This window comes from Homo sapiens, chromosome 1 (genome assembly GCF_000001405.40).
Source record: "Homo sapiens chromosome 1, GRCh38.p14 Primary Assembly".
NCBI classification, from domain to species: domain Eukaryota; kingdom Metazoa; phylum Chordata; class Mammalia; order Primates; family Hominidae; genus Homo; species Homo sapiens.
Window position 1 is genome coordinate 13,658,531 of NC_000001.11, and position 17,573 is coordinate 13,676,103.

At 43.4% G+C, this 17,573-nt stretch overlaps 1 long non-coding RNA gene across 1 annotated transcript; it reads left to right on the forward strand.

Moving 5' to 3' along the window:
• The first annotated feature begins 11,663 nt into the window (after positions 1-11,663).
• Positions 11,664-16,188, forward strand: LOC105378612 (uncharacterized). Its single transcript, XR_946968.2, has 3 exons — positions 11,664-12,121; positions 13,000-13,186; positions 15,711-16,188. It is a non-coding gene; the product is annotated as an uncharacterized LOC105378612 (long non-coding RNA).
• Positions 16,189-17,573: the final 1,385 nt, after the last annotated feature.

Here is a 17,573-nt window from a genome sequence, read left to right on the forward strand (position 1 = left end):
GCCCGGCCAGCCGCCCCGTCTGGGAGGTGTACCCAACAGCTCATTGAGAACGGGCCATGATGACAATGGCGGTTTTGTAGAATAGAAAGGGGGGAAAGGTGGGGAAAAGATTGAGAAATCGGATGGTTGCCGTGTCTGTGTAGAAGGAAGTAGACATGGGAGACTTTTCATTTTGTTCTGTACTAAGAAAAATTATTCTGCCTTGGGATCCTGTTGATCGGTGACCTTACCCCCAACCCTGTGCTCTCTGAAACATGTGCTGTATCCACTCAGGGTTGAATGGATTGAGGGCAGTGCAAGATGTGCTTTGTTAAACAGATGCTTGAAGGCAGCATGCTCCTTAAGAGTCATCACCACTCCCTAATCTCAAGTACCCAGGGACACAAACACTGCGGAAGGCCGCAGGGTCCTCTGCCTAGGAAAACCAGAGACCTTTGTTCACTTGTTTATCTGCTGACCTTCCCTCCACTATTGTCCTGTGACCCTGCCAAATCCCCCTCTGCAAGAAACACCCAAGAATGATCAATAAAATAAATAAAAAATAAAAATAAAAAAAAAAACCTCTCGTTAACACATAATAATGCCCGCACTGAGCAGGTGTTCACTAAGGTGTTGAATAAATAGTTGAAACTGTGAAAAAAAAAAAAAAAAAAAAAAAAAAAAAGATGCTTTTAAAATATGAAAAAAAAAAAAGATATTTTAATGAGAAAAGCTGAGTGTTGGGAGAGAAGCTGATGCAGGGCTTGCATGTCTGCTAGACTTGCTGGCTCCTTGCTTCTAGCACTCCCATTATCTCAAGCAGCCATATGTTTCTCATTCACTTGATACACTGTTTCCTTTCAACCCCCACATCCTCACCACCTGTTTCTTTGTTTGATCATCAATAAATGGTGTGGGCTCCCAGAGCTCCGGGCCTTGGCACAGCATCCACACTCGCGATGGCCCCCTGGTCCCACTTTCTCTCTCAAACTGTCTTTTTCTCATTCCTTTGACCCCCTCGGATTTCATTGCCCCCACGACCTGGTGTTGGATCTGATCACCCCAACAAAACCAAATCTTAGTCTCGTGTTTCTATCTAAAGACACTCAAAACTAGTTTTTTTTCTGCCCATCCCTTTCCTAGCTGCAACTTTATTTGTGACCATGTAATAAAGGGCAGTTTAAAGATTAAAAAATAAAAAAGTTTAAACCTTTTTTAAAAAAACTAAACAATTCAGGCTAGCAAAAAGATACTCAATACATATTTTCCTTATATCAAACAAGCTAATACAATATAACTATACAGAATATATACAATACACTTAAGTTTCAGAAAGCAAATACTATAGGCTCATTACAGATTTGAAAAAACATGATATTCACATTGATTACAATAACTCTAAAAATAACTGCAACATTGAAATGGCATTTAGTTTACAAAAAAAGTTATATATATATATATATATATATATATATACACACACACACACACACACACACACACATAGTCACCAAGAACTATGGTCCCTGTAAAATACTAATAGCCAGATACTAGTCTATAAAATGTGAAGTTTTGACATGGTATCCATTTTTTGGAAATAAAATCCAAAACCATTTTTGTTATTGTCAAAAGTCAAACATGCCAAGTAACTTAGCTATGGCCAGTGTCACCAAGTAAAGCCATACTTGAATGAGATGACAACTGGATACAAAAGCTGGTGAACTGGGGCCTGGCACAGTTAAGAGTTGTACTAGATCTAGGAAAGGGGTAGAATACATAAAAAGACTCGTCTATGTAATTTAATTCACATTTTCTCCCCTGCATCACCTTCCCTTGAGGGTTTCACAAAATGCCAGTGCCCAGAAAGAATCATAATGCTGTAAGTGGCAGGGTAAAAAAAGTCCCCCCACCCCGACTTCCTTGCTGCTGGGCTATAGGCAAATATTAAAGCATGCATCAGTTACACAAAGCCATCAGTCACCCGTCTGGAAGACTGTGGTGTACAGTTTCCGCCTATGCTGGCTGCACTTTTAAAACTAAAATCCCAGGAAACAGAATTATCTTGTTAAAGTTAAAACTTGCATTTTAAAAGGTCATTATCAAAAAATTAAAACTTTACTGGTAGAGCATTTTGTTTTATAGTATTTCTAAGATCTGGCATATATTTTAAAAAGAGACATACAAACCCACAGAGTAATGTGTTTGTATTAAGAAATTATATATGTGTGTCAGCCGGGCATGGTGGCTCACGCCCGTAATCCCAGCACTTTGGGAGGCTGAGGCGGGTGGATCACGAGGTGAGGAGATCGAAACCATTCTGGCTAACACAGTGAAACCCCGTCTCTACTAAAAAATTAAAAAAAAATTAGCTGGGCGTGGTGGTGGGCGCCTGTAGTCCCAGCTACTGGGGAGGCTGAGGCAGGAGAATGGTGTGAACCCGCAAGGCGGAACTTGCAGTGAACCAAGATCGCGCCCCTGCACTCCAGCCTGGGCGACAGAGCGAGACTCCGTCTCAAAAAAAGAGAAATTATACATGTGTGTCTATAGGGATATATTTATAAAATCCCAACACACAATGAACTTCCTATTGGTGTGCTCTGGCCTCTGAAAAGTAATTGACTCAATGGTAATTGGCCTTTAGTGACAATGTACTTTAATGATAGTGGCTTATGTGACCTGCAAATGTTAAAGTCCCATGTCTTGCTGAGTTCCTTTGTGATAGTGAGTGATATAGTTTGGTTGTATCCCCACCCAAAATATCATCTTGAATTGTAATCCACATAATCCCCATAATCACCATTTGTCAAGGGGACCAGGTGGAGGTAATTGGATCATGGGGGTGGTTCCCCCATGCTGTTCTCGTGATAATGATTTTTCATGAGATCTGATGGTTATATAATCATCTGGTACTCACTCCATCCTGTCACCCTGTGAAAAAGGTGCCTGCTTCTCCTTTGCCTTCTGCCATGATTATAAGTATAAACCTCTTTCCTTTATAAATTACCAGTCTCGGGTATTTCTTCATAGAAGTGTGAGAACGGACTAATACAGGTTAGTTCTTCTGCAGCTCATCTGCTACTCACAAGTGGAAAGAAGCAGCTCACAGACTCTTCATCTCCAAGAGTCAGACTTTCAGGGCCTCCCTCAGCAAACCTGCACGGCTTCCTCCAAGGCAGAAGTCCAGGGAATTACTTATGACTAATGCGGTCAGACCCAAAGCAGTCACTCCACCCAGTCGGAGGGAGTCCTACGCTGGTTGCTGCCTCCCCACCTTCCTCACCCCCATGCTCAAAACTGTGACACCCAGGTCATTGACACCTGTGTCTGCAGCTGGCAGGGCCACAGTTCTGATCACATTCACACATTCCTTCATTCATCATTTCATTCATTCACACACCTTTATTTGAAAACTGACATATGGTGGATACTGATGTTTCTGAGATAAAGTACCCAGTTTGCTGTTAATGCAAACTCAATACGGCCTGGGAAGGACTCCGTACTTCTATATTCGAGCCCCTGTGGACGAACTGTAACCTAGCTTAATAGGCAGACAAGGTTGAAAACCTAATTTAGGAGTATACACCTGTAACAATTACAATAGTTGAGTCTTGGCCAATCCCAGCAGCCATACTTCAACCACTCAGAGACTGCTAAGTGTTCAAACTGTGTTCAAATAAGACAAACACCAGCCTGTAACCAATCCAGCTGTTTCTGTACCTCACTGCCGATTTCTGTATGGCACTTCCCTTTCTTTGTCTATAAATTTGTTCTGACCAGGGGGCATCCCTGGAGTTTCTCTAAATCTGCTGTGATTCTGGGGGCTGCCTGATTGGGGAATCATGCATTGTTCAATTAAACTCATTTAAAATTAATTCAGCTGAAGTTTTTCTTTTAACACTGCCCTTACTAACTTCGCAGCCTAGTGGGGAGAAGTCATGTGACAAATACAAAGTGAGGAAAAAACTCCTTAAACTCCTAAACTGTGCTACCAGTGTGCTAATAACAGATTTACGGGGATTATTTCATTTAATCCTCACAACAACATGAGGAGGTGGATACCATTATTATCTTCATTTCACATAGGCACCCCACCCCCCCAAAGAAAAGAGGATTCAGCAACAGGCACAGCAATTTGCCCAAGATGACAAAGCTAGAAATGGTGGAAATTAGCCAGGAAGTCACGCTGACTCCAGACTCTGTGTAATTTACATGTCTCAGGCATTTTTACAAGAAAAAAAAAAAAAACCAGGCACAGTGTCTCATGCCTGTAATCCCAGCATTTTGGGAGGCCTCAGTGGGAGGATTGCTTGAGCCCAGGAGTTCGAGACCAGCCTAGGCAACCCCGTCTCAAAATAAATAAATAAATAGCTTTTTAATCCTCTAACCTAGCAATTCTGCTTCTAGAGGAATTGTTTTATAATTGTTTATAATGGCAAATAAACTGTCCTACATGTCCATCAAGGAGAGCGTGTTTACAAGACTTGTAGTATGCTCACCCCATGAAGTATTTTACACACAGTGATGAAAATGAATCCACGATGGCCATAAATGTTAGAAACGTAAGACTGAATTTTTAAAAGCCAAAGACCACACACCATATGATGACATTTTGAAAGCTCAAACCCAGTAAAAGAAGATAACACATTGTTTTGACAACACACAGCTTAGGTAAGCAGATTTTTTTTTTTAAGTCAGAGAGTGATAAAGACAAACTTTAGGGTAACGATCATCTGGGAGGATGGATCTAGGGAAGCAGAAGAAGGAATTAGGGGTGGGGGTTGTCCAAGTAAATGTGAGGCCTTTTGTAATGGTTTAATTCCAGGATTGACAAGCTAGAGCCTGCAGGCCAAATCTGGCCCTTCAACTGTTTTTGTAAATAAAGTGGGTTTTTTTGTTTTGTTTTGTTTGAGTTGGATTCTCGCTCTGTTGCCCAGGCTGGAGTGCAATGGTGCAATCTCACCTCACTGCAACTTCCACCTCCTGGGTTCAAGCAATTCTGCCTCAGCCTCCTGAGTAGCTGGGGTTACAGGCACCCACCACCATGCCTGGCTAATTTTTGCATTTATAGTAGGGACAGGGTTTCACCATGTTGGCCAGGCTGGTCTCTTTGGTCAGGCTGGTCTCGAACTCCTAACCTTGTGATCTGCCCGCCTCAGCCTCCCAAAGTGCTGGGATTACAGGCCATAAAGTTTTATCTGAACACAGACACACCAATTTGTTTACATATTGTCTATGCCGGCACTCACTCTACAATAGCAGAAATGAGTAGTTGCAATGGAGACTATATGGCCCATAAAGCTTAAAATATTCGCTATCTGACTCTTTACGGAAAAAGTTTGTTGTGACCTCTGTTCTTGCCTTGGATTGAGTAATAGAGTCCTCTCTTTAATAGCGGTAAGACATTCACCTCTCTGGGTCTCAGTTGCCCTATCTGTAAATAGGGATGATACTACTCTGTGAAGTAAGAAACTGTATCATCCTTTAATGTATGGAAAGTGGATTAGTGGTTTTTTAGGGCCAAGAGGTGGCGCTGGGGGGAGATGAGAATATGGAAATAGGGACTGACTACTAATGAGTAAAAAGTTTCTCTAAGGGGGATAAAAATATTGTAAATTAGACTGTAGTGATGATTGCACAACCCTATCAAAAGATCCACGGCTTCCTGCGGGATTTCTCAACCTCAGCACGATTGACATTTGGGGCTGGATACTTCCTTGTTGTGGGGCTGTCCTGTCAATGTAAGATGGTGAGCAGCCTCCCTGGCCTCTACCCATTATGGGTAGTGATGCCAGTAGCACTCACCAAGTTGTGAAAACCAAAATGTCTCCAGACATTGCCACATATCCCTGGAAGCAGCTAGGGGGAGTAAAATCACCCCCAGTTGAAAAACCACCGTTCTATAATAATAACCTGAGAAATTTCCTCTGCACAGCATTACCATAGAAAGGAGAGTCAAAAGTCTTGGAGTAAATAGTAGGACCTTTTTACCATGGAAAATGATCAGCTTTGAATCACTGGGCAGGGACTGAACTGGGCAAGTCTTTGCAAGGGCAACTTCCAAGGAGCAACAAAGGTGGCACTTGAGTAATTTGGAAAGTGATACTAAGCAAGTTGGAAGGCTGCTGTGTTCCGCTCATGAAAACATCTGCACCTAAGTGGTAAGAGTTAGCTGTGTGGTCCTGGCCAATTTCCAGCCCAGGTGACTGCAGTCTCCTGTTCTTAGTCTTCCCTCCAATTTCTGTAGGGCATGGTGCTTTTCTTTACTTCCTGTTCCATACCTGATGACTAAGCCATCATTAGTCTCTTCTAGTGATTAGTTAGGAAATATTAATTTTAAATCAGCAAAGCACTAGGGGAAGAAAAGGACAACTTGGGTTTCCCTTTTCATCCCCAAGGGATGTAACAGCGCACCCGTCAAATCCTTGGTGGAGAGAGAAACCTCCTTGAAATTATCTTGCCAAAAGAGAAAAACGGATTAGCCAATAGTTCATAAATTTGAAAGCATAGGGCTTTCTTTTGATGAAGGCCACTTCCTAGAGGAATGGAGAGGAAGCTTGATCACAGAGTTTAGACACAGTTGAAGAACCCAGTGCTCCCCATTTCCCCTCCCATACATGTCTCTAATCTGATGGTCCCCTTACATCCCATCCTTGCAGGAAATTGATTCTCTTTCCAGCCTTTGCTCAATCCTTGCTCCCATTTATTTATTTTATTTATTTACTTTGAGACGGAGTCATGCTCTGTCACCCAGGCTGAAGGGCAGTGGTGTGATCTCGGCTCACTGCAACCTCCACCTCCCGGGTTCAAGTGATTCTCCTGCCTCAGCCTCCTGAGAGCTGGGATTACAGGCAGCTGCCACCACACCCTGATAATTTCTGTATTTTTAGTAGGGTTGGGGTTACGCCAGGCTGGTCTCGAACTCCTGATCTCAGGTGATCCACCCGCCTCGGCCTCCCAAAGTGCTGGGATTACAGGCGTGAGCCATCATGCCCAGCCCCTTGCTCCCATTTAAACCGTCAGCCCCGAGCTTCAACCCTTAGAGGCCTGGTTTCTGCCCAGCATCAAAGTGAATGGGATAGTCCTAAAGGGACCAATTTGTCTAGATTGGTCCAAGACTTGGTGGATTTTAGCACTGAAGGAGGTCCCGGGCAATCTTTTGGTCCCCAGCAAAACGAAAGGGTTGGATAGCTTAACTCCCTGAAGGCCTCCTCCATATTTCATCTCTTGTAACCTCGCAGCATCCAGGTCAACCAGTGATTGTGCGTCTTAAAAAAACAGAGCAAACCACTTGAATGAGACAAGCAAATTGCAAATTAACTGCAACTCTTCCTGATGCCCACCAGAGGGCTCCTTCTTCCACATAAACAGCCCTGCTGTGCCCAAAGGAACAGAACCTTCCGGACTAGGAGCAATCAAGTTAAGACGGCTCTGACAGTCACTGCCTCACAGCAGAAGTAAAAGAAGAGGGCTACGTCAATGTCATTTCTGCCTCTGTTAACAAACAGAAAGCACTGCTTATGAAATGGGTTCTCCATTCGTGTTCCAGGAATAGCCTTTATTCCAGGTCCTCACCGGAACCTTGCAAAGTGGGAACCGCTGGTGAATGGCCTAAGGTCACAAAACCATCAAACTTCAAAGACCGCAGTCTTTCCACTGTACCAAGTTACCTTGTTATTTCAAAGAACAGTGAAATGAGAGCGTTACAAGCTGTTCCCTGGGCTTAGGGCTGTGGGTGTGGACAAGGGAGGCTGGATGTGGACCCAGTGCCTGAAGGGGAATTTGGTCAACAGCCATAATGAAGAGCAGGAATGGGGGTGGGCGTGCAAGGGCATCGCTTCACCATGTGGACACCAACAGGAGCAAGAGAGTAATGGGGAGGCAGGGACAACCAGCCCTTGTAAATTCCCAACTCTAAGACAGCTGACAGCAGCAGCTACCATGGCTGCCCCATCTCAGGGAGCTCAGAGCACGCAGCAGATGGGATGCAGGCAGAGAGTTCAAGGCTATTAGGCCTCAGCACTAACCAGGGAGTCCTTAAGGGAACCAGGTGGGACTGCGTGTGCCCCAGGCTCCAGGCCACCTGTGACTGCCATCTGCCAAAGGAAACCGACAGAGTCACCCCAAACCAAATTAAGAACCAGAGTGCCAAGAGTACCCATAAAAAGAAAGGGTATCTGCCAGTTGTTGTTAAAGCAAAGAAAAAGGAAGAACATGGCAAGTCTACAAATGAGCCATGATATGTGTTAACCCTGGAGTCAGTGCAGAGAACACACAACATTCTAGAAAGGGTTGGGGTAGTTGCGTGGGGAACTTCTCTTAGAACCGAAATCTTTTTTTTTTTTTTTTTACTTTTTTATTTTTTAATTTATTATTATTATACTTTAAGTTTTAGGGTACATGTGCACAATGTGCAGGTTAGTTACATATGTATACATGTGCCATGCTTAGAACTGAAATCTTGCAATTCAGTTCGATTTAGACTCCTCTGCTGCTTTCACCCTTTGCAGACAGGCCCAGCAGCCCTGGGGTTTGCTTGTTCTCACTTTCTTCTTTTTTGGAGAAAAATTCAGCATTAGGTTTCACTATGGCATAGAATAGTTTTGGTTTTTTTTTTTTCTTTTTGTTTGTTTGTTTGTTTTTTAGTCAGTCCCTACCATTTTGACAATCACACTTGGAAGACCAGCTGAGCTGTCAGGAAAAGGACTCCTTTCTGCATTACTTTAACCAAAACAACTATGGTTTTTAAAACTATACATTAGGCCAGCCGAGCGTGGTGGCTCACACCTGTAATCCCAGCACTTTGGGAGGCCAAGGCGGGTGGATCGCTTGAGGTCAGCAGTTGGTGACCAGCCTGGCCAACATGGTGAAACCCCGTCTCTACTAAAATTACAAGAATTAGCTGAACGTGGTGGCACATGCCTGTAGTCCCACCTACTTGGGAGCCTGAGGCAGGAGAATCGCTTGAACCCAGGAGGCAGAGGTTGCAGTGAACCGAGATCGTGCCACTGCACTCCAGCCTGAGCAACAGAGTGAGACTCCGTCTCAAAAAAAACCAAAAAAACCCAACAAAAAACCCCCTATACATTAGATTACTTTATCAGCCCTAGCTTGCCACCAAACGAACTAGGTTATCATTTCTGAGTTGCAAATAATTCTTTCCCCATGGATATATTTTTATCCAGAGTAACATCTGTCTAATTCAAGACTTGAAAAATAAAGCCCACGTGATTTCAAGAAAATGAGCACTTTTAAGTCGTGAAGTATGTTGTAGCCTAAAAAAGAAAAACGTAGTCTTCCAAGAGAACCATCTCTCCAGTAAGAAAAAAAAAAAGTTCTTTGACTGACAGCTCTTTTCAAGTGCAAATGAGAGTGACAGCAAGAAGAGGTTTAAAATTCTCATTGGGTTGGAGGATACTTCTGCTTTTTTAATGTAAATATTGATATGTAATCTGGGTTTGCCCTGTCAGAAAGCATTCATGCATACAAACATGCTCAGGTTTTTTCTGTTTTGTTTTATTTTGTTTTTTTGAGACAGAGTCTCGCTCCATCACCCAGGCTGGAATGCAGTGGCATGATCTCAGCTCACTGCAATTTCCACCTCCCGGGTTCAAGTGATTCTCCTGCCTCAGCCTCCCAAGTAGCTGGGACTACAGGCACACACCACCACACCTGGCTAATTTTTGTATTTTTAGTAGAGACAGGGTTTCACCATGTTGGTTAGGCTGGTCTCTAACTCCTGACCTGGTGATCCACCCGCTTCAGCCTCCCAAAGTGCTGGGATTATAGGAGTGAGCCACTGCGCCCGACTCATGCTCAGGTTTTTTTTGTTTTGTTTTGTGTTTTTGAGACAGAGTCTTGCTCTGTCACCCAGGCTGGAGTGCAGTGGCGCGATCTCGGCTCACTGCAAGCTCTGCCTCCAGGGTTCACGCCATCATCCTGCCTCAGCCTCCCAAGTAGCTGGGACTACAGGCGCGTGCCACCACCGGCTAATTTTTTGTATATTTAGTAGAGACACGGTTTCACCGTGTTAGCCAGGATGGTCTCGATCTCCTGACCTCGTGATCCGCCTGCCTCGGCCTCCCAAAGTGCTGGGATTACAGGCGTGAGCCACCGTGCCCGGCCTCATGCTCAGGTTTTTATACATATGCTCCAGTTCCTTTCCTCGGTAGACCCTGTATTCTTTTCTTTCTGTTTTGAGATGGGGTCTCACTTTGTGGCCCAGGCTCGTCTCAAACTTCCAAGCTCAAGTGATCCTCCTGCCTCAACCTCCCACATAGCTGGGATTACAGGCACTTGCCACTGTTCCTGGCCTGTTTCCTTTATAATGCCCTTCTGGGAAGGCAGAGAGTGTGCATTGTGGCTAATTTCAAGAAGGCAACTCTAAAGAGCACCCCAAAAACTTGCCCATAAATCAGTGAAAGAGCCAATATGATTATATAAGTGACGATCTCATTGTTTTTCTATCTGGTTAAAGTTTTTTTCACCAGACTTGTGAAAAAAGGAGTTGAATATACCGATGTCCAAAACACACACTTCCATATAGAGCGGGAGGGAATGTTGTGGAGCCACCATGGACAGAAGGGTGGCAATACGAAAACCTCAATCAGTGTTTCTCAGACTAGCTGCATCTGTAGGGTATTTAGTGGAGCTCTGCTGTACAGGCAGCTATCTGCATTTAGGTCAACATATTTTAAACTTCATTATAGTTCTTTGATACTTAAGCACTATTGATATTTAATAGTGCTTTGATATTTAATATTTGATATATAAATATATGTTTGATTTCATATTTGATTTACTATTTGATATATAAAAGCACTTTGATATTTAAGCACAAAGAGGCATTTTAAAATTAAGAATAATAATTGTTTATATTAGTGAGCAGGATAATACTCTCTTCTCTTTTAAGAAGGCGTCCATCTTTTTGTTTTTTGCTTTCTAGTTAACACATAAAGTTTATTTTTTTAATTTATTTTTAAATTTTACTTTAAGTTCTGGGATACATGTGCAGAACATGCAGGTTTGTTACATAGGTATACATGTGCCATGGTGGTTTGCTGCACCCATCAACCCATCATCTAGGTTTTAAGCCCCACATGCATTAGGTATTTGTCCTAATGATCTCCCTCCCCTTGCCCCCCACCACCCGACAGGTCCTGGTGTGTGATGTTCCCCTCTCTGTGTCCATGTGTTCTCATTGTTCAACTCCCACTTATGAGTGAGAACATGTGGTGTTTGGTTTTCTGTTCCTGTGTAAGTTTGCTGAGAATGATGGCTTCCAGCTTCATCCATGTCCCTGCAGAGGACATGAACTCATTCTTTTTTATGACTGTGTAGTATTCCATGGTGTATATGTGCCACATTTTCTTTATCCTGTCTATCATTGATGGGCATTTGGGTTGGTTCCAAGTCTTTGCTATTGTGAATAGTGCTGCAATAAAGATATGTGGGCATGTGTCTTTATAGTAGAATGATTTATAATCCTTTGGGTATATACCCAGTAATGGGATTGCTGGGTCAAATGGTATTTCTGTTTGTAGATCCTTGAGGAATCGCCACACTGTCTTCCACAATGGTTGAACTAATTTACACTCCCACCAACAGTGTAAAAGCATTCCTATTTCTCCACAGCCTCGGCAGCATCTGTTGTTTCTTGACTTTTTAATAATCAAGAAGGCCTACATCTTTCGTTGATGATGGACAGGTTGAACCAAAATCTGGTTCCAAATCCAGTTGGTTTTGTCTTGTATTTCTTACTAGTTGATATATTGGTCAGTCTGCTTTCTGTTGCAAGTGATAAACCTCAAATTAGCTTAATTTTTAAAAAAGGAATTCATTGACTTGTGTAATAAAAAAGTTCAGGGATACATCTAACTTCAGGCACGATGTCATCAAGAAACGGTCCCTCTTCATCTCTTGACTGCCTGTTTTTGTTTTTGTTTTCTGTGTTGCCTTTATTCTAGGCCTCTGTTCCAGTGATGGCAAAGATGACCCCAAGCTGCTCCAGACTCACGTGCCTTACTGCCTATGCTTTGAAAACGACAGAGAGTGTTCCTTTCACAGAAAACCCTGTGGCCGGGTGTGGTGGCTCATGCCTGTAATCCCAGTACTTTGGGAGGCCAAGGTGGGCAGATCACCTGAGGTAGGGAGTTCAAGACCAGCCCGATCAATATGGAGAAACCCTGTCTCTACTAAAAATACAAAAAATAATTAGCCGGGCGTGGTGGCACATGCCTTGTAATCCCAGCTACTTGGGAGGCTGAGGCAGGAGAATCGCTTGAACCTGGGAGGTGGAGGTTGCAGTGAGCCGAGGTCGCACCATTGCCCTCCAGCCTGTGCAACAAGAGCGAAACTCCGTCTCAAAACAAGAACAACAACAACAAAAAACAACCCTGCAAAAATCTCCCACAGGGCAGATGAATCACTGATCCGTCTTCCCAGATGTAAAGCCATCGCCATGCCCTAGAAATGCTGAGCTCATTGGACAGGTAGCCATCCCTCAAGCACGGGAGGGCGTCTACATGGACCACACAGCCTGGAAGCAGGGAGGGGTAATTTCCCAAGAAAAATGTAGGATGCTGCTGTCAAAAAAAGTGGGGCCTGTCTGGGTGTGGTGGCTCACGCCTGTAATCCTCTCACTTTGGGAGGCCGAGGCGGGCGGATCACCTGAGGTCAGGAGTTTGAGACCAGCCTGGCCAACATGGTGAAACCCTGTCTCTACTAAAAATACAAAAATTAGCCAGGTGTGGTGATGTGCGCCTGTAATCCCAGCTACTCGGGAGGTTGAGGCAGGAGAATGGCTTGAACTCGGGAGGTGGAGGTTGCAGTGAGCCGAGATCGTGCTACTGCGCTCCAGCCTGGGCAACGAGCAAGACTCCATCTGAAAAAAAAAAAAAAAAGTGGGACATAATGCCTCATAGGTAAAAACAACACTTGTCCACTTCATATACTAACTTAAAAGTTCCTAATTCATAATTTGTGACATTGAGAATGGCAGCAAGCATTTGGTGGCTCTCCCAGGCAGCTCTGAAGATGCAGCTAGAACAAGGACTAGAAATCACAGACCGATCTCTCAGGGAAGTCTCCTTCCCAGGCTGCTTCCCAGGCTCACCCAACCAGCAAGTCCATTTGAAGCTGGAAGATTCTGTGTCCATTTGGGAGGTAGTCAACTATGAATTCCTCTCTCCACTTTGGCTGCTATTGTCAGGTAAGCATTCCTTTTTGTTGTGTTGCATTTGAATGTGTTACTAAGATTATTTCCAATAATACTTCATTGAGTTACTTCTTCATGGAGTATAGAAAATTCCTGATTTTTTTTTTTTGTACTTTTTAGTGGAGAGGGGGTTTCACTGTGTTAGCCAGGATGGTCTCGATCTTCTGACCTTGTGATCCGCCCGCCTCAGCCTCCCAAAGTGCTGGGATTACAGGCATGAGCCACCACGCCCGGCCTTTTTTTTTTTTTTTTTTTTTTTGTGAGACAGTGTCTCGCTTTGTCGCCCAGGCTAGAGTGCAGTGGTGTGACCTCAGCTCACTGCAACCTCCGCCTCCTGGGTTCAAGCGATTCTCCTGCCTCAGCCTCCCAGGTAGCTGGGACTACAGGTGCCCACCACCACACCCGGCTAATTTTTGTATTTTTAGTAGAGACAGGGTTTCATCATGTTGGCCAGGCTGGTCTCAAACTCCTGACCTCAGGTGATCCGCCTGCCTTAGCCTCCCAAAGTGCTGGGATTACAGGCGTGAGCCACTGCACCCAGCCTGAAAATTACTGATTTGTAAGGAAGAAGAAATCAAACTCTTTATGATTAGACCAGGTGCATCACAATTTGATCTTAAAAATCTGAACCTCTTATAGCTTCAGTGCTAAAATCATGCAGTGTCATCCCTTGAGTAGGAGGCTCAGGTTGGCTGTGAAACTCAACACACACAGCACCAGTCTTGATAGAAGTCGTTCTGATTGTATTATCAGAGCAAGGAAGAAATATTTTTATTATCATTCAGTGTTGAGAATGTTTTAGTTTCCCTTTTGTTTCCTCTACAATCTATGAGTTGTTTCTTTCTTCTTTTTTTTTTTTTTCTTTTTTGAGATGGAGTCTCGCTCTGTCACCCAGGCTGGAGTGCAATGGCACGATCTTGGCTCACTGCAACCTCCGCCTCCTGGGTTCAAGCGATTCTCCTGCCTCAGCCTCCCAAGTAGCTGGGATTACAGGCATGTGCCACCATGCCCGGCTCCTTTTGTATTTTTAGTAGAGACGGAGTTTCTCCATGTTGGTCAGGCTGGTCTCGAACTCCCGACCTCAGGTGATCCACCCCCCCTCGGCCTCCCAAAGTGCTGAGATTACAGGAATGAGCCATCGCGCCCAGCCAAGTTGTTTCTTAAAGTTATTTAGTTTTCCAGACATATGGTATTGCTGTGGTCATCTTTTGTTATTAAATCCTAATTTTATTGCATTATAGCTGAAAAACCTGGTCAATATGTTATGTATGATCCTGTTCCCTTGGAATTTATTGAGGTTTCTTTTATGGCCTAATTTATGGTCTATTTTTATTAATATTTTTTCCATATGTACTCAAAAATGTGCAGAAAAAGATGATATATTCTGGCCAGGCACAGTGGTTCATGCCTGTAATCCCAGCACTTCAGGAGGCCAAGGCAGGAGGATGGCTTGAGCTCGGGAGTTCAAGACCAGCCTGGGTAACAGCAAAATCCCATCTCTACAAAAAGTATTCATAAGGCCGGGCGCGGTGGCTCACGCCTGTAATCCCAGCACTTTGGGAGGCCGAGGCGGGTAGATCATGAAGTCAGGAGATCGAGACCATCCTGGCTAACAAGGTGAAACCCCGTCTCTACTAAAAATATAAAAAATTAGCCGGGCGCGGTGGCGGGCGCCTGTAGTCCCAGCTACTCGGGAGGCTGAGGCAGGAGAATGGCGTGAACCCGGGAAGCGGAGCTTGCAGTGAGCCGAGATTGCGCCACTGCAGTCCGCAGTCCGGCCTGGGCGACAGAGCGAGACTCCGTCTCAAAAAAAAAAAAAGTATTCATAAAAAAATTAGCCAGGCTTGGTGGCATGTGCCTGTGGTCCCAGCTACTCAGAAGGCTGAGGTGGGAGGATGGCTTGAGCCTAGGAGGCGGAGGTTGCAGTGAGCTGAGATCACACCACTGCACTTCAGCCTGGGCAACAGTGTGAGACTCTGTCTCAGAAAAAAAAAAAAAAAGGTATATTCTATTCTTTAATATACAGAGTTTCTTCTCCCTCTCACAACTGTATACATACATATTATACAAACATATATTAATATAAGTAATATGTATTCTATATAAACATATGCATGTGTACATATGTTTATATATGTATATTTATATAGCTTGAATTTATTAATTATATTTTTTAGATCTTTGCTATCTGTGTTTTTTTCCCAAAGAGAAGTTTTTGTTTTTCTTTTTAAGAGACTATGGGTCTTGCTGTGTTGCCCAGGCTGGACTCAAGCTCCTGGACTCAAATGATCCTCCTGCCTCAGTCTCTAGAGTAGCTGGGACTAGAGGTGGGCACCACCATGCCCAGCTTTTATCTGTATTTTTGATCTCCTTGTCCTATGAGTTTCTATGAAGGTTTGTTGACATCTCTAATGATACCTCTTGATTCATCTATGTTTTAAAACTCATTACTCATTGCTTGATAAATGTTGGAGCCGTAGAGTTAGCAGCATGTATGCTTACAATTGTACACTCTCAGTGAGAAGCAGGATGAAGAGGAGGCAGTTTGTCTGGACTGAGATCCACGAACCCTGGGAATCTGGAGGCAGAGGGTATTGTTGAGATGACCAGAAAGCAGCCAGTTGGCCCACATCTATTTCATCAAGTCCTCAGCCCAGTGGAGGTTTGTGCTGCCCTCAGACACCAGTGACCTGGGATTTCTGCAGTCAAGAGGGAGCTAATAATGGTGCCAGGGTCACTTGGGGGAAGAAGCAAGAGCAGGACTTAAGATCTTTCCCCCAGTCTGAGCTCTTCATGCCACCGCCAGCTGCTTCTGCCCCGGCTGGAATCACCAACATCCCACAGCCCCTCCTGGGCAGCTTCAGTTAGGATGTCTAACTTCAGTTCCTGTTTTCGTTTGTTTGTGGAAACCATACTCTCTGTTTTTTAAGAAATCGTTTCTCACAGGAGGCTGAGGCAGGAGAATCGCTTGAACTTGGGAGGAGGAGGTTGTGGTGAGCTCAGATCATGCCATTGCACTCCAGCCTGGGCAACAAGAGTGAAACTCCATCTCACAAAATAAAATAAAATAAAATAAAATAAAATAAAATATAAAATAAAAATCATTTCTCCAAGGTTGATTTTGGGGGCAAGGAAACTGCAACCTGCACTGGTTTGCCATTTTGACACAAATCAGAAAAATTACCCCTGCATCCAAAAAAAAAAAAAAGGTGTTCACTTAGTTTTCCCTTCAGTCATCTGTGGTACTTTCCTTCTCAGCCTATGTATTCAAAGTGTACTTACAGCTTAGTTTATTGCACCACATGCTCAAAGGATGTAATTCAGTGATAGAGATTTGATTATCTTTGCAATTTTAAAAATGAAGGTAGAGTTGGCATACCATAAAATCACTCCATTAAACTACACAATCCAGTGATTCTTAGCATATGCAGGAAGTTGGACAGCAATCACCAAATTGCAGAAAATTTTCATCACCCCAAAAGAATTGCAGAAAACGTGCATCACCCCATTTGCAGTCATTTCTTTCTGTCCTCAGCCCTGGCAACCACACATCTATTTTCTGTCTCTGTGGATTTGATTTGGTATTTTGGCTAATTTGTATACGTGCAATCATACAATATGTGGCTTTTGTGTCTGGCTTCTTTCACTAGTATAATGTTTTCAAGGTTCATTCTTACTGACTATTGGTGCTTCATTCTGTTTTACAACTAAATAATTTGCATTTTTGGGCTATTAGAAATGATGCTGTATTGAATCTCTGTGTGCAAATTTTTGTGTGAACATATGTTTTCGATTTTCTTGGATATTTATCTAGAAGTAGAATTGCTGGGTCACACAGGAACTCTTATGTTTAACTTTTTGAGGACCTGCCAGACTATTTTCCAAAGCAGCTGCATTATTTTACATTCCCATCAGCAATGAATGAAGGTTCCAATTTCCCACATCGTTGTCAACATTTGCTATTGTCTGCCTTTTTGGTGATAGCCATGTCAGTGGTGTGAAGTAGTATCTTATAGTGGTTTTGATTTGCATATCCCTAAAGACAAATGAAATTGAACATCTTTTCATGGGTTTATTAGTCATTTGTATATCTTCTTTGGAGAAATGTCTATACAAATCCTTGGCCCCTTTAAAAATGGGGCTATTATTCTTTTTATTGTTGATTTGTAACAGTTCTTTATATATTCTGGAGATCGGACCCTTATCAGATATATGATTTATAAATATTTTCTCCCATTGTCTGGGTTGCTTTGTACTTTCTTAATAATGTCCTTTGATGCACAGGAGTTTTAATTTTTTTTTTGGACTAGGGTCTTGCTCTGTTGCCCAGGCTGAAGTGCAGTGGTGCAATCTTGGCCCACTTCAACTTCTGCCTCCCAGG